General features: G+C 33.4%; 1 protein-coding gene across 12 annotated transcripts in view; it reads left to right on the top strand.

Annotated features, from left to right (window-relative positions):
• SYCP2 (synaptonemal complex protein 2) overlaps window positions 1–17,561 on the top strand; it is a 70,067-nt gene that overhangs the window by 32,792 nt on the left and 19,714 nt on the right. For all 12 annotated transcript variants that reach the window (XM_011528490.4, NM_014258.4, XM_017027587.2 and 9 more), the window contains 10 exons: window positions 28–102; window positions 562–708; window positions 4,318–4,417; window positions 5,249–5,409; window positions 7,253–7,322; window positions 7,647–7,704; window positions 8,145–8,278; window positions 8,420–8,856; window positions 14,012–14,139; window positions 14,882–14,918. In XM_011528490.4, the coding sequence (XP_011526792.1) occupies window positions 28–102; window positions 562–708; window positions 4,318–4,417; window positions 5,249–5,409; window positions 7,253–7,322; window positions 7,647–7,704; window positions 8,145–8,278; window positions 8,420–8,856; window positions 14,012–14,139; window positions 14,882–14,918 (1,347 nt within the window). The remainder of the gene's footprint in view (window positions 1–27; window positions 103–561; window positions 709–4,317; window positions 4,418–5,248; window positions 5,410–7,252; window positions 7,323–7,646; window positions 7,705–8,144; window positions 8,279–8,419; window positions 8,857–14,011; window positions 14,140–14,881; window positions 14,919–17,561) is intronic.

Raw genomic sequence — 17,561 nt, 5'->3', positions numbered from 1 at the left:
CATCACTGTGAATTGATTTAATTTTAGGAATCTATCAGAAAACAAGGTATTTCAGTTGCCAAAACGTCGCTGCATATACTTTTTGACGCAAGTGGATCACAGGTATGTCTCAGACTTACTTGATTTTTATCACTGGGCTAAGTTTAACCATAACTAATGGAACAGTAATAAAGGTGTTGTTGGAGGGTGAATATATAGAAAACAAATGGTCTCAATATAAACAGTACCCCAATAAAATGTATATGATGTTTAAACATGTTATTAATGATAATTTTAGTGTAAAGAGTAGGGTTATTAATAAATATCAGTTTAGTAACTTTAAAACTTTAAAAAAGCAGTAAATGTCCTTCCATTAATGTCAAGCTTCTTTTATGTCTATTAGAGTTTGAAAAAATGGATACTTTTTATTGGATCACTTTGTAAAAATTATAACAGCACATGGATAGAAAAGGGAAATAATTGAATATGTGAGATGAGTAGGAGCTTAAGACATCCAGTGATTGTTGATTACTTTCTGTGGTTTGCAGTTTTAAATACTTTTTTTTTCATATTCTCCAACAGATTCTAGTGCCAGAAAGTCAAATCTCACCAGTCGGAGAAGAGCTCGTTAGTTTAAAGGAAAAATCAAAGTCCCCAAAGGAATTTGCTAAACCTTCAAAATATATCAAAAACAGTGACAAAGGGAATAGAAATAATAGTCAGCTTGAGGTAAAGATGGTGTCAAAATACTGGCTTATAAAACTACCATTGATCAAATCACTGTTATATATGAGTACTGAAAGAAGCATCTAGAATTTATATATTATTGGCCTTGATCAATCACATTTCAGAGTGTTTCTCCTACCTTTGACAAATGCAAACAAAAGATAGTGTGTGTCTTAGCAAATTGTGTACATGTATAGGGGTTAGAACAAGACATACTTTACAGTTGTAAATTGCAGATTAGAGATAGATAAGATAACCTTCTTGAATGTATCCTTTTTGTTCTATAATTGCATTTGGCTATAATGTAGAATAGAAATGTATAATGTTCTGTTTATTTGCATGAGGAAAAAAAAAAGTATGAGGTTCTTTCTTTTACTCCTTTTCTTTTCCATTGAAGGACCTCCTCTAGGTCACATCCAAGAGAATAATTTCTCATAAATGGAACCCCTACCACCATACCTTGCTGTGACACTTGACATTGTCGATAGCCCCCTGTTTCTTAAGGTCCGCTCCTTCAGCTTCCATTGTATACCACGGTTCCCTTTCTGCTTCTATTACTACATTAGAAAAACTTTCTCTCCATACCTCTTGGTAGGTTTGCTCTAAACCCAAAACCTTGATATCCAGCTTTTGGAACATCTTGTTGCCTTCTTTCTTAGAGAGCTTCCTTCATGTTCATAATGTGAGCTCTTAAAATGTAGCAGACTTTTCTTCAAAATTCTATAGCTGCATCTCTACTTGTTTTTCTGTATTTCCATTTGTATGTCTCTCCAAGACCTTTCCTGAAGTCTAAGCTCAAACATTTTATCTTTTGACTAAAATCTGCATCTGTCTGTATTTCAGTAATACTACTGTTCATTTTTTTTGGCAATATGCTTTATTTCAGCCTCTTCTCCCCTTATATCTGGAACCAAGGTGCTTGTGATTATTCTTTCATAGTATCTGTGTCTCACATCCATTCTTTCTTGTTTCATCTGCCATTACTCATCTCAGCACACTTAGGTTAATACAGTAGCCTCCTCGTAGGACTTTGTCACCACTGTTTTATCCTATGAGATACCTGAAAAATCAGCGATTTTCCTTAAATATCAGTATCTTGATAGCATTCTTCTACTCCAAAAGTTTTGTGATTTCTGTGTTCATCCCACTGACTGAATAAATTTTGGCTCAGTTCTGAGACTTTCTATAATTTAATTTTACCTTTTCTATTAAAACTGTAGTATGTATTCTCCCCTTTTGTAAGGTAGTTTGCTTTACTGTCTCTTTGCATGCCATGTTCATTCATGCCTCTAGATCTTCATTAACATTATTTATTTTTTTACCTTTACCCATCTAAAGCATACTTAGATTTGCAAGTCTTGTTCATTTTCACTTTCTCTTTTTTTGCTTTCCTTTTTAAAACATTTTACATATCTTTTTTTTGTAGGAAGTCTTTTATTTAAGTTCTGGGATACATGTGCAGAACATGCAAGTTTGTTACATAGGTATACACGTGCCAGGGTGGTTTGCTGCACCCATCAACCTGTCATCTACATTAGGTATTTCTCCTAATGTTATCCCTCCCCTAGGCCCCCACCCCGCAACAGGTCCCAGTGTGTGATGTTCTTCTCCCTGTGTTCATGTGTTCTTAACTCCCACTTATGAGTGAGAACATGGGGTGTTTGGTTTTCTGTTCTTGTGTTAGTTTGCTGAGAATGATGGTTTCCAGCTTCATCCATGTGCCAGCAAAAGACATGAACTCATCCTTTTTATGGCTGCATAGTATTCCATGATGTATATGTGCCACATTTTCTTTATCCAGTCTATCATTGATGGGCATTTGGGTTGGTTCTAAGTCTTTGCTATTGTGAATAATGCTGCAATAAACATACCTGTGCATGTGTCTTTATGTTAGAATGATTTATAATCCTTTCGGTATATACCCAGTAATGGGATTTGCTGAGTCAAATGGTATTTCTGGTTCTAGATCCTTGAGGAATCACCACACTGTCTTCCACTTTCTTTCTTTTTATTTAATTTTTGAGATGGAGTCTCGTTCTGTCACACAGGCTGGAGTGCAGTGGTGCAATCTCGGCTCACTGCAACCTCCGCCTCCCAGAACCTCTGCTTCTTGGGTTCAAGTGATTCTCCTGCCTCAGATTCCCAAGGAGCTGGGATTATAGGCACCTGCCACCACACCTGGCTAATTTTTGTTTTTGTTTTTGTTTGTTGTTGTTGTTTTAGTAGAGACAGGGTTTCCTTGTTAGCCAGGCTGGTCTCGAACTCCTGACCTCAGGTGATCTGCCCTTCTCGGCCTCCCAAAGTGCTGGGATTACAGGCATGAGCCACTGCACCCGGCCCATTTTTTGATTTCTTCGTGGAGCTTTGCCTGATTATTTCAGTTTTTACTAATCTCTCACCTTTACGTAACTATAACTCTCACAGGCACTTCCATATATTTTGGCATGTTTATGTTACTATTTTGTTTTTTAGTCTTTTGTTCTCAATTAAAAGTGTCATTTATTTCCCCGAGATAATTAGCACATGAAAGCTATTTTTGGTGTCTTTATATCAGAATCATGTTGGGTGCTTATTAACAATGCTGATTCTTAGCCCCACCTTAAATCTGTTGAATCTTAAACTCTTGGAAAGGTCTTAAGCACACCAAAGTTCGAAAAACACCATACTACTGTTAAATACCTGTGCTCTGTTTTCAATAAGGATGAACTGTTTGAGGCATTTATATGAATAAGTAACTGTTCAGGTTCCATTCACTATGCCACTAAAAACTTAATTTCTCTAAGAAAAATCTGTTGGCTCAGAAGCTTGTTTTCTAGTTAATCTTAGAATTTTCTTTTATCTTATCCTTTCCATCCTTCCCTCACGTTTCATATACATACCCACTCACAACTGTATCATTTTTTCCCCTGTTCTAGGGACAGGTGCCTTAAAACCAGCTCTTTTATGCCTCTATGCAGTATGTCACCATCTACTTCTTAATATGGCATCCTCTGAAACTCCTGTCTCTTGTAGTCCCTGCCTCTGCTTATCTACTTCTGTCCCTCTTATAAATTAGTGTGAGATGATATGGGAGAAAACAAATCTTTATTGGAACCACTAGATTATGTGCCACTGAATCTATGAATTCCTGCAGCTACTTCACTCCAGTTTAGTCTTCACAGATTATTAGTACAATTTTCAAAAATGTGTGAATGTTTTGAAGAAAGCTTAACATGAAAGCACTCAAAATAATTTCATATAAATATGTAATCCAAACATTATCCTCATGATATAGAATAGGAAATTGCAAGCTATGGTTAACTAGATAAACTCAATATTGATAAAATATTTTCAGCTAGCATATAAAGGTACTGTACTTCATAGGCATGGATATTCTATAAATATTCTTTAAAACAATGTTCCTTACTTGTTTTAGCTACTTATTTAATACCAAACATGAAGATGAACCTTTCATATCAGCCTAAAACATGGAAATTTATGAATATTGTGTTGTTTATTTAAAAAACATATATCTTTGGCATGTATCAAGGCAAAATGTTATAAGTAAAATTGTAGGATATTTAATTTCAAAAAGACTGTGTTTACAGTGGTTGTTTTTCATCGTGGTTTCAGAAAACTACTCCTAGCAAAAGAAAAATGTCTGAAGCATCAATGATTGTTTCTGGTGCAGATAGATACACTATGAGAAGTCCAGTGCTTTTCAGCAACACATGTAAGTTTTATAGTTTTAAAAGATTTCTAACAATTATTTTAAAGGAGGCATTTTTTAATTTAAGGCAATTCTGAACATAATTTACATAAAGGATAAGTTTGGTGTATAAAAATTGATAAAATATGAACCACAAATGTCTTCTAATGGGAAGAAAAGTATAATGCTAACATATGAACAGAACAGTGTTGAAAATACTAATATTCGACATTAATAATTTATTATAATTTAAGCAGGACACAGCATATCTTACTGGTTAAAACACTGAATTAACCAGGCCAGGTGGACTTAGCTCCCCACTTCCAGCTGTGTACTTTGTACAGATATCCTCTAGCTAAATTTAGAACCAGTTTTTTTTTCTATAAGTGGCACTTAAGTATCTATCTTATCAAGTTGTTTAGAGGATTAAATAAAAATCACTCATTTAATAAGTTACCTAGTGAAACTTTAAACAGTGCCTGATACATACTAAGAGCTAAATAAAAGTTTTAAAAAACCTGATACTGTGTACTAGTTAAAGTCTTAGTCTATATGACAACTTAACATTGACCTTCTGTTCTAAAAATCTTGTTGCCTACTGGCCAATTGCTTAGTATCTGACAGGCTCCCCAAATGTAATAGGTCCAAAATTAAATTAATCTTTCCACCCTTCCTGCAAATTTTTCCTTCACTTATTATCTTGGTAGATGGCATCTATATTCACTTAATTATCTAAGCCAGAAACCTGGGAACCATCTAAGAATGTTCGTTTCTTACCTTTCTCATTGGAAAAGTACCTCAATAATAGCAATAGGTAAAAAAAGAAAAATCTGCAATCCTTGTCCTCCTTTTTAGCAATACCACCACGAAGAAGAAGAATTAAACCACCACTGCAAATGACGAGCTCTGCAGAGAAACCTAGTGTTTCTCAAACATCAGAAAATAGAGTGGATAATGCTGCATCACTGAAATCTAGATCATCAGAAGGAAGACATAGAAGAGATAATATAGACAAAGTAACTTTACCTTGAAAGTATTTTAAAAATATTTTTTCAAGTAATTGTGGAAATATGTATTGAGCTAACTCCTTTTGCAAGCTGCAAGTGTCTCATTTTGTTTAAAGCATTACCTTTTTTCCCCTAAATATTTATTGCCCTTGAAAGTAGGGTCCTTCTGGCATATGACTCATTTACTGTGCTTACAATAAAAGTTATGAATATTAATTCACTATAACTTGATTTACACATTTGGGAGCATAAATGAACCTGCCATAATTATTTAGTTGATTATACAAATTGGTGACTACTATGGGGAAGACTCTGGTATAGGAATGCGAAGTACAAGTGGACTGTGTCCTTAAGTTTCTCAAAATTTAGCATGAAAATTAGATACTAAGTTACATAAGCATTCTCAGATTTACACATATAGGATGCAGTAGGAACCAAGTTAGAGGGTCAAGTGCCTAACCCCATAGCTAGAGGTGAGGGTGAAGATCAGGAGATGCTTTTTAAGAAAATATGGAGAATGAATTGACTTTTGAAAGGTCAATAAAGAGTCAAATGGATATTGAGGAGAAGGGCATTTGTTCCAGGTAGTTGAAAAGACAAAGCAGGAATGGATAAGAGAGAATAGTTTCTTGGAGAAACAGGAGGTGATCAGCGATGCAGATAAGCTTGTAAAGGAGGAACATCTAATAGCTTTTGTTTTTTCTGAAGTGTGAAGATGGTGAGTTTCTCCTGGAGATCTGTTGAAGTACAGGGTTCAGGGACATGTAAAGCTATGTGCAAGGTAATGGAGAGGCCTAAGAATAAGTGTTAGACAATGTTGACCCAGTTTAAATATGACTATGAATTTTATAGCATAAATATGTTCATAAATATGTACAATTTTCTCAAAGCTTAGTAGTCTTGGTGTTAATAGTAAGATGAGAACAGATGATGGATTCTATTTTTTTAATTTAAATGGGTATGTGGTAGAAAGATAAAGGGTATGAGAGTTGAAGATATTAAAAGAAAATAGTCAAAGTAATGGTTCAAGTTGTCTAAGTGTTTCTTAATAAGGGGATTATTTTTCAGTTGTGCGACATGGTCCTAAATGTTGTAGGATGATAAGCATCCTAGCTAGGATTGTGCTTACCTATTGTCAGGAGAACCCCTCTGTCATTGTGACAACCCAAACCACACCTGCATATTTCCATAATGTTCCCCTCCTAGTGTGGAGAATCACTGGCTAGAGTAAGAAGGAAAGGCAGCCAGGATGAGGCAAAATAGCTTAGACTAAAGGGAATATTTTTCTGATAATAGTGGCAGATTTGTATTTGATCTGGATTAAGTGTTATCTTTGGCTATGGAAATAGGGAAGCTTGCTGTAGGAAAGAAGTTACCTGGGTAATGCAATAGATATTGTTATAAATAAAAAACTTAGCTAAACAAAAATCGTCCTCTTCGATATCTGATGATAATTCTGAAGAAACAGGAAAAGTGAAATATAAGAAAGAAAGAATGGACCATATCAAAATAGATAAAGCAGGCTATGTAATCAACAGCAGCAGGAGAGATTCCTCATGGAGAGTCTAGAAATTGTCAGTTACAGATGAAAACTGAATTATTATGCTAGCTATGGATGTGATCAGAAAATTTATGCAATATTCTGCCTCGTCTGCAGTGACAGTTTTCTTCTTGTGTTTCAGGATAGGGAATATTCAAAAACGGGCATAACGTTTATGAAATATATAAAAATAGTATCCAACTTTTCATATCAAGGCAGATTTGTTTTAAAAGACTCAAACCTTAATACTGTAACATTTAGGTTTTCATATAACATCTTAAGTTTACGTTAACCTGTTTCCTGTGTTTACAGCATATCAAAACTGCTAAGTGTGTAGAAAACACAGAAAATAAGAATGTTGAATTCCCAAACCAAAATTTTAGTAAGTACCTTGTGGTTTAATTTAGTCATTTTTTTAAGAAAATGTATATACTTCTCCCTGTATTACCATTTAACCCCACTGGCTTTCATTGATTTGAAAAAGATTTACAAAGAATTTGTTTGACTTTGTGCAAGGAATTTTTGAGGTTACAAGGAAATATACCACCTTTGTTCCCCAGAAGTTTGGGTTTAAGAGAGAGGATGCAAAATCGATCAATCCGTTCATCCCAATATGTGAACCTTTATAGATTTCTATACTAACCTCCCTATCCCCCTGCCAACTGCATGAAAAAAATGAAAATATTATAATATTTGTTTTATTTAGGTGAACTCCAGGATGTTATACCAGATTCACAGGCAGCGGAAAAAAGAGATCATACTATGTAAGTATGAGAAAACCATCAAATCATTTAGTCTATACTAATGCTGTTTTCAGTGAATGTAACAGATTTGGAGGAAAAGGACTGTATATGATTAGAATTAGTATTAATCATCTCTCAAGTGTTATGACAGCACAATGGGGAATTATGTATATGGTTTTTTCCCCATGTGGTCCAATATAACTCTTTTCAAGTGGAGAGACTTAAAATGAATGAGATTTTTAAAATGTATAAACAATGAATGTGTAGAAATATAACAATATGTAGAAATTAATTAATGTGTAGAAATATAAATATACAGTAGAACTGTAAGATAAGATAAATTTCCACATAATTTTCACATAAGTAATCGCTTTCAGTAAACGTTGACTACATTAAAAATCAAGGTCTTAAAGTCACAGGCTAATGTTTTGTAACATTAAGCAAATTAATTTATTTTCTAGATTACCTGGTGTTTTAGACAACATCTGTGGAAATAAAATACACAGCAAATGGGCATGTTGGACACCTGTAACAAACATTGAACTATGTAATAACCAAAGAGCAAGTACTTCGTCAGGAGACACATTGAATCAAGGTGAAACTTAGTTTTATCTATATGTAATAGTTCAGTGTTAATTTCCTCAAATGTCTAACAAGTATTAAAACAAATTTAACAAATTTTACATATGTCAACTTATTAATTTAAAAAGAATTAATTTCTCATTTTCCCCAATAGATATTGTTATAAATAAAAAACTTACTAAACAAAAATCATCCTCTTCAATATCTGATCATAATTCTGAAGGAACAGGAAAAGTGAAATATAAGAAAGAACAAACCGACCATATCAAAATAGATAAAGCAGAAGTAGAAGTTTGCAAGAAACACAATCAGCAACAAAATCATCCTAAATATTCAGGGCAGAAAAATACTGAAAATGCCAAGCAGAGTGATTGGCCTGTTGAATCTGAAACTACTTTTAAATCGGTTCTCCTAAATAAGACAATTGAAGAATCGCTGATATATAGGAAGAAATACATATTGTCAAAAGATGTGAATACTGCTACTTGCGATAAAAATCCATCTGCTAGCAAAAATGTGCAAAGTCATAGAAAAGCAGAGAAAGAATTGACTTCTGAGCTTAATTCCTGGGATTCGAAACAAAAAAAAATGGTGAGCTTTCAATGTGTTTTGATTTCTGCATATCCATAAGATGCCTACTTGATAACATAAGAAAGAAAGAAACTTGATTAATTGCTACACATTTAACATGTGTAATACCTTGTTTAATTCAGTGCCCAGACTCTCAGAATTCCTCACTCACCTCTCCCTTGTCGTAGCTCTGATAGAACAGTACTAGGTGCATATCAGACATGTAAATATGTGTAGAATTAATGAACCATGCAGTTCCTGTCTCTTCTTTTTAGGTTCCTCCCACTCTTTCCTTTTGACTTGGATATAGAACTGTTTGTACATTTCTTATAATTCCTACCTTTCTTTTTAATAAATGGTTTTTTTTTCTCTCTTTGACTGTAACCATAGACTGTTTTATTCAACATTTGTTTTCCTGCATGTCCTAGCACAGCCTTTATACACAGTAGCATCTCAAACATTTTTTGGATGAATGCATTTAACCTTGACAAGGTTTTGCAAGAAAGTATGTGAATGGGTTAGAAGAGACTGTCTTCTATTGTAACTGTTACTCATCATTATTAGAGCTCCCACTTTCTTTTTCAGATTAATCATCTCTGGAGAACATCTCTAAGACATTTTTAGCTACTTTGCCACCAGACTTCCAGGGAAGAAAATATTACTTTTTTGTAACAGTTACGGGTAAATCATTTTTTCTTAACTATCAAAATGCAGATTAAGAAAAATTTTTTAATTAGAATACATTTCCACTGCAGGTAATGCAATCTGCTTTTTGATATTTCTGAAATAATCCAGGTTTTATAGGCTTTTATTTTCATTTATCTTCTGTAGTAATGCTGATACCTGGGAAGCCAAATTTCTAGAGTCAATGTAAAATGTTCACACAATGTAACCTCTCAATGTGCAAATTATATTTAAAAGATAATTTGCAATTGTATATAATTAGGCATTATTTAATTTGTCTTGACCAGCCTCCTTTAAAATATTTTTTACACCTGCAGCTCACTTTTTGTGCCTAATTTGGCTGTTTTCTTCTTTAATCATATTCTTTTGGGTCCCTTTTTTTCTTGGGTCCTAATATGTTATTTTCTCTTTCTCATCTTAGCTGCTATTTACTTCCCTCAGTCCCAGGGGAAATAAGGTTCTTTTTGTCCGAACAAAGATCTGTCTTTAAATTTAAATTTTAAATTGCTTTCTTTGGTATTTAGAATAATTTCACATAATTTCCCTGAGCTAGTCATTTTTTTTTTCTGGGAGCACAAAACCTAATAATCTTTTCTAAGCTGTGCTCTGATTTTTAAAAAAATCAACTTCCTGTTTTCAGAAATTGTCTTCAGTCCTTCATAGAGTCACTACCTGTATCCTATTTAGAATTTCCCACCAGTTCATGAATCACTGTCTCTACCTACCTACCTACCTACCTACCTACTTACCTACCTACCTATCTACCTATTTATTTATTTATTATACTTTAAGTTCTGGGGTACATGTGCAGAACGTGCAGTTTTGTTACATAGGTATACATGTGCCATGGTGGTTTGCAGCACCCATCAACCCATCATCTACATTAGGTATTTCTCCTAATGCTATCCCTCCCCTAGGCCTCCACCCCCCAACAGGCCCCAGTGTGTGATGTTCACCTCCCTGTGTCCATGTGTTCTTATTATTCAACTCCCACTTATGAGTGAGAACATGTGGTGTTTGATTTTCTGTTCTTGTGTTAGTTTGCTGAGAATGATGGTTTCCAGCTTCATCTATGTGCCAGCAAAGGACATGAACTCATCCTTTTTTATGGCTGCATAGTATTCCATGGTGTATAATGCCACGTTTTCTTTATCCAGTCTATCATTGATGGGCATTTGGGTTGGTTCTAAGTCTTTGCTATTGTGAATAGTGCCGCAGTAAACATACATGTGCATGTGTCTTTATAGTAGAATGATTTATAATCCTTTGGGTATATACCCAGTAATGGGATTGCTGGGCCAAATGGTATTTCTGGTTCTAGATCCTTGAGGAATCACTGTCTTCCACAACGGTTGAACAAATTTACACTCCCAACAGTGTAAAAGCATTCCTATTTCTCCACATCCTCTCCAGCATTTGTTGTTTCCTTACTTTTTAATGATCATCATTCTAACTGGTGCTAGATGATAACTGTCTTCTAAGGTAGCCATCTGTCTGATACTGTCTTTCTACTTATTGGATCACCCCAGAGCAACCTTGGTAGTTCAGTGGCACAGATTTCCCAGGCTGGCTCCAATTATACTGGAATTTCTGAAATCATACAGTATTTTGGAGAAGGTTCATTTTTGGTACATTTCTATCAAGACAAGTAAACCACTCCGATAATCTTAAGGGGACATTAATAACTTAGTACCTATTATATATAAGAACATATGGACTTAAAAATGGTTAAAATAGTAAATTTTGTGTTTACTAGATTTTTGTGTATATTACTACAACTAAAAAACCTATATATGCCTGATAACCAGAGAAAAGTAAATATAAAATCAGGAGACCTCATATCTTTAAGAATACTATTGGACTTTATTAAAACTAAGTTATCTAAATTATGCTGAGAATAATTCTTATTTTGTAGTCCTTTTACTTTTAAAAAAAATCATTTTTGGAGCAATTTTAGTCCCAAAAATGAGTAGAAAGTATACAGACTCCTCGTATACCCATTTACCCATTCCCCTATTATTAACATCTTGCATCACTGTGGTACATTTGGTAGAATTGATGAGTCATTATTGATACATAATGATTATTAACTCAAGTGCTTAGTTTACATTAGGCTTCATGCTTTGTTGTACATTCTGTGTGTTTTGACAAATATGTAGTGAAGTGACATATCTACCATTACAGTATTGCACAGAATAGCTTCAGTGCCATACCATTCCCCTGTGCTCCACTTGTTTGTTCTTTCAACTAGGAATGTATTAAATTTATAGATCGTTAGGAAGAACTGACATCTTGACAATATTGAGCTTTCTATCCATATATGTGGAATATCTCTTCATTTATTTAGATCTCCTTTGATTTCTTTCATCAGACTTTTGTAGTTTTTCTCTCGTACATGTTTTGTTAGATATACATCTAAGTATTTCTTTCGGCAGTGCTAATGTAAATTATATTGTGTTTTTGATTACACTTGTTCATTGTTGGTTTATAAGAAAGTGGTTGACTTTTGTATATTAACCTTGTAATTTGCAATCTTGCTACAATTGCTTATTACTTCCAGTAGTTTTGTTGCTAATTCTTTGAGATTTTCTACAGACAGGTCATTTGTGAACAAAGAGTTTTATTTCTTCTTTCCCAATCAATATACCTGTTATTTCCTTTTTCTGTCTTATTGCATTAGCTAAGAATTCCAGAACAATGTTAAAAAGAAGCAATGAGAGGGGACATTTTTGCTTTGTTTCTGATTTTAGTAGGAAAAGCATCTCGTTTCTCACCATTAAGTGTGATGTTAGCTGTAACTGTTTTTGTAGATGCTCTTTATCAAGCTGAGAAAGTTTCCATTTATTCCTAGTTTGCTAAGGGTTTTTTATCGTGAATCTGTGTTGGATTTTGTTAGATGTTTTTTGTGTATCAATTTATATTGATTGATTGATTATTTTAAATTAGCCTGTTATGATGGAGTACATTAATTTTCAAATGTTGAATCATTCTTGCATACCTAGAATAAAATCCACTTGGTAATAGTTGCATAATTCTTTTTATACATTGTAGGATTTGATTTGCTGATATTGCTGATGTTGCGGATTTTTGTGTATGTGTTTATGGGAGATACTGGTTTGTACTTGTTTGTAGTGTCTTTGGTTTTGGTATTAAGGGGACATTGGCCTCATAGACTAAGTTAGGAAGTAGTTCCTACTCTTCTATCTTGTAGAAGATTGTGGAGAATTGGCATAATTTCTTCCTTAAATGTTTGATAGAGTTCACAAGTGAACTCTTTCTGGTGTTTTGGTAGGATATCAAGTATTCATTCCATTTCTTTAATAGATATAGGCCTAGTCAGATGATCTGTTTCTGTTTACATAGGTTTTGGTAGATTGTGTCTTTCAAGGAATTGGTCCATTTCATCTAGCCTATCACATTTGCGGGCATGGAATTCATAATATTGACTTATTTTTATGTCTATGTGATCAGCAGTGATGGCCCTTCTTTCATTTCTGATAGTAATTTCTGTTTTTTTTTTCTCTTTCTTCTTAGTTAACCTGACTAAAGGTTTATCAATTTTATTGATCTTTTCAAAGAAATGGTTTCTCCTTTTTTCAGTTTTTTATTCTTATGGGCAGAAACATTTTTTAAAATGTCTGCAAAGCACTCTGTACAGTTCTGTTAACAGGTGCTGGAGAGGATGTGGAGAAATAGGAACACTTTTACACTGTTGGTGGGACTGTAAACTCGTTCAACCATTGTGGAAGACAGTGTGGCAATTCCTCAAGGATCTAGAACTAGAAATACCATTTGACCCAGCCATCCCATTACTGGGTATATACCCAAAGGATTATAAATAATGCTGCTATAAAGACACATGCACACGTATGTTCATTGTGGCACTATTCACGATAGCAAAGACTTGGAACCCACCCAAATGTCCCTCAATGATAGACTGGATTAAGAAAATGTGGCACAAATACACCATGGAATACTATGCAGTCATAAAAAAGGATGAGTTCATGTCCTTTGTAGGGACATGGATGAAGCTGGAAACCATCATTCTCAGCAAACTATTGCAAGGACAAAAAAACACCGCATGTTCTCACTTGTAGGTGGGAATTGAACGATGAGAACACTTGGACACAGGAAGGGGAACATCACACACTGGGGCCTGTCGTGGGGTAGGGGAAGGGGGGAGGGATAGCATTAGGAGATATACCTAATGTAAATGACGAGTTAATGGGTGCAGCACACTGGCATGGCACATGTATACATGTGTAACAAATCTGCATGTTGTACACATGTACCCTAGAACTTAAAGTATAATAAAAAAAATTATCTTATTTTAATGCCTAACAAAGCTCAAACTTACTAAACAGTTGACTCTCTTTATTTCTCTCCGCAGGTATAAATAGAACCAGATTTATCTTAAAAGTTTTTTTCAGCCTTTATTTTTCCTTTAAAGATTAACTGGTAGAGTTTAAAAGTAACTTACAATTTTTTTCAGAGAGAAAAGTCAAAAGGGAAAGAATTTACCAATGTAGCAGAATCCTTGATAAGCCAAATCAATAAAAGATACAAAACAAAAGATGACATCAAGTCTACAAGAAAATTAAAGGAGTCTTTGATTAACAGGTATGTTCTTAAATTTCAGACATGAATATTTTTCTGACAGATACAACTATATTACACAATTTTAAAAAGGTTAATTTTAAACATAGGTTCAGATAATGTAACTTTTCAGTAGAAAACACATGGTTACTTAATACTTTTATAAATAGTAGGTGTTTAAATTACACAAGAAGGGAACTAAATTTGAAATTTGTCATTCTATTGTCTAGTTACATTTTATATAGGATCAAAAAACACATCAATACAACATACCATTTTAAAAATCTTTAGGATGTAGACATTGTACTTACTGAATCTAATAATGAATAAATATATTTAAATACATTGCTTAATGAAATACAGAATTTAACCAGATATGAGTTTTTTTGTAGTAAATAGTACATTCTTTGCAGTCTTTCCAAAGATTGTTTATTACAAAATGTCTATTTATAGTCTATTAGGTGGTTAATTCAAGTTTACGTTAATTCTGGCCTTACTATAGGTCATGAATAAATGATTCTTATGGTGGAATCATTCATTTTAAATTCACACTTTCTGCTGCATTAATGATTCAGCTTCGAATGCTCTATTATAAGTGCTGTTTACTGTGAGTGAAGTAGCAAAACTATCAGACTATTACTGTTACATTTTGGTTATTTTTAACATTGAATATAAATTTAGTGACAAACATGGTTTATCTTAAAATGACTTTTATGATATTGATACTGATTTGCTTTTTCAATTTTGACAAAATCTTTTTTTACAGTGGTTTTTCAAACAAACCTGTTGTACAACTCAGTAAGGTAGGTGTTATTTACTTAACTTCACCAAATCTATAGTCAAACTCAATATTTGACCATAAACACTAAAATAGCATAGTGGTAAAATGGAATTTGATACGATGTTTTCAGAATATTGCTAAATGAATGATAACCACTGACAGGTTTAATAGCAAGTACTCAAAATAGCCCTCCAACCTTCTGTTTTTCAAATAAAAAGCTTCTTTTACACATATGAGCATAATATTTTTACTTTTTGGTATATGATTCAGTATATCCTTATCGCGCGTGCGCGCGTGTGTGTGTGTGTGTATTTTTTTAATAGCCAATCCCATTTCTCCTAACAATTAGATCCTACTGAAGTTCCAATTTTGTTTAAAAAAAACCTTTACTCTTTATCCAGGCTTATAATATAAATTATCTTTTTTCTAATTCCTCACAGTTGCTCTCTGTGTCCACTTAATATTTCAAGTTTTGAAGTTCACCCTCTGTAAGTTCTTCTTGAATGTTTTCTCCCCTGTCGAGGCCAACTCCTATTAGCCCAGTTTCGGTTCTGATTTCTAATCTCTGGATTGTTACAATAGGTTTTATGTGTTAACAATTTTCTTTGCCTCTAGCATTTCTCTGTGGCAATCCTTACATCACATTCACTACCAGCTTTTTTTCTTTCTAAGGCACACAGCTCCAATCATGCCACTTACTTGTTCAGAAACCTTTTTTTGGTCCCTGTTGCTTATTGAATTAAATGGAAACATAGACTGGCTCACTTTTCCCTTTAAAAGATTGTCTTGTTTCTTAATTTTCTAGGCATGTCATGTTTAACTGAAACATAACTTGAGGTTTCCTGAAGTAAGTCTTTCCTAAGTATTCTCTTTTTCTTCTCCCTTTGCAATGAACTTTAAACTGAGTCAGTAGGCTCTCTCACCCTCTTATCTGATTATTAAAATATTTCTCTTTGTACCTTCCTTATGAAAACTTTCCAAGATGCCCTGACTCAAAAACCCATTTGGCAAGAATTCTGAATCTGTACAATAGAGTGTTTTGGTACCTTTTAAATTTTTATTTATTTTTGCTATTTTACTCATGGGTTTTTTCTTCTGTTTTTTCACTATATTTTGAATCATCTTTGTATTTTCTGTAATATTTTTGTGCTCATCTTTGTATTCTCTATAATACCATTGCTGCCTTTTGCTTACCTTCTTTAACATCTTTGCTCATTTTTACATATTCTGTAACAGCACACAAACGATGCAACAGGTGAATGAACATATGTATGCAAGCACTGGTAAAAATCATACTGGGAAGGATAAGTCAGATAAATGATCAGAGGAGTAATATATTGAGAGATAACCTTTTTAAAATAATGCAAATACGTCTATATAAAATAACGGAAAGAAATTGAAGATGAATCACAACATAAAATTAATATTTTAGGTTTTAATATTTCTAACTTACTAATTATTTCTGATCAGTAATCAATTATTTAGTGATATTTAATCATAGTACATTTCTTTAATACAGTATATTACAATTAATTTATTAAATGTTATTTAACTTCTTTTTTTGCCCTCACTACTTTGAGATCTGGTTGAATATATTTTTAGTTGTGGGCTGTATAAATAATTTAACACATATTTTTTTCCTAACAATACTAGTTAATTGATAGCTTTTTGACTCTTTTACATGAGATTTTACATAAACCTTAGCCTCTCTCAAAGTTTTCTATTTAAGAGTTTAAAGCAAATGAGAGTCCAAAACAAAGGAAAAGCATGCTTGGTTTGTGGTGATGGCATCACCAAAATTTAGCTTATAGAATTCCAGTAAGGAGGTCATTTATTTACGTACAACAATGTCAGTAAGTATTAAGGTTAAAGGATTTTATTAGATTTACAATATTTTCTATTGTATTTTTACTATTTAAGTCTTCGATATTTAAAGAAGTGTTTTTTTATTGTATGTATTTAAGGTGTATAACATGATATACATAGTGAAATGGTTACTATAATCAAATTAATGTATTCAGCTTTGTGTGTGTGTGGCAAGAACGCATAAAATCTACTCTTAGCAAATATCCCAAATATAATAGGTTGGTGCAACAAACTATTATATAATACAATACTGTATTATATATAGTTGGTGTACTATACAATACTATTAATAGTCCTCATGTTCTGCATTATATCTCTAGACTTATTCATCCTACATATCTGCAACTTTGTATCCTTTGATCTCCCTTTTTCCTTCCCTCCTGCCATCCTCTGGTGACCACTGTTTTATTATCTTATGTCTATAGATTTGACATTTTTTTTTTTTTAAGATTCCACATATAAGGGAGATCATGCAGTATTTTTCTTTCTGTCTGGTTCTTTCACTTAGCATAATGTCCTCTTGTCTTGGTTCATCCATGTTATAGCAAATTTCAGGATATACTATTTTTAAGGCTGAATAGTATTTCTTCATATATATACACGCACCACAATTTCTTTATCCATTCATATGTCAGTGAATACTTACTTTGTTTCCATGTTTTGATTATTATAAATACTACTGCAATGAACATAGGAATGTAGATACCTTTGTTTGTTTGTTTGTTTGTTTGTTTGGAGACAGAGTCTTGCTCTGTCCCCCAGGCTGGAGTGCAGTGGCGTGATCTTGGCTCACTGCAAC

This window comes from Homo sapiens, chromosome 20 (assembly GCF_000001405.40).
Source record: "Homo sapiens chromosome 20, GRCh38.p14 Primary Assembly".
NCBI lineage: Eukaryota > Metazoa > Chordata > Mammalia > Primates > Hominidae > Homo > Homo sapiens.
The sequence above is the reverse complement of the archived record's forward strand: the minus strand, read 5'-3'. Positions and strand labels throughout refer to the sequence as shown.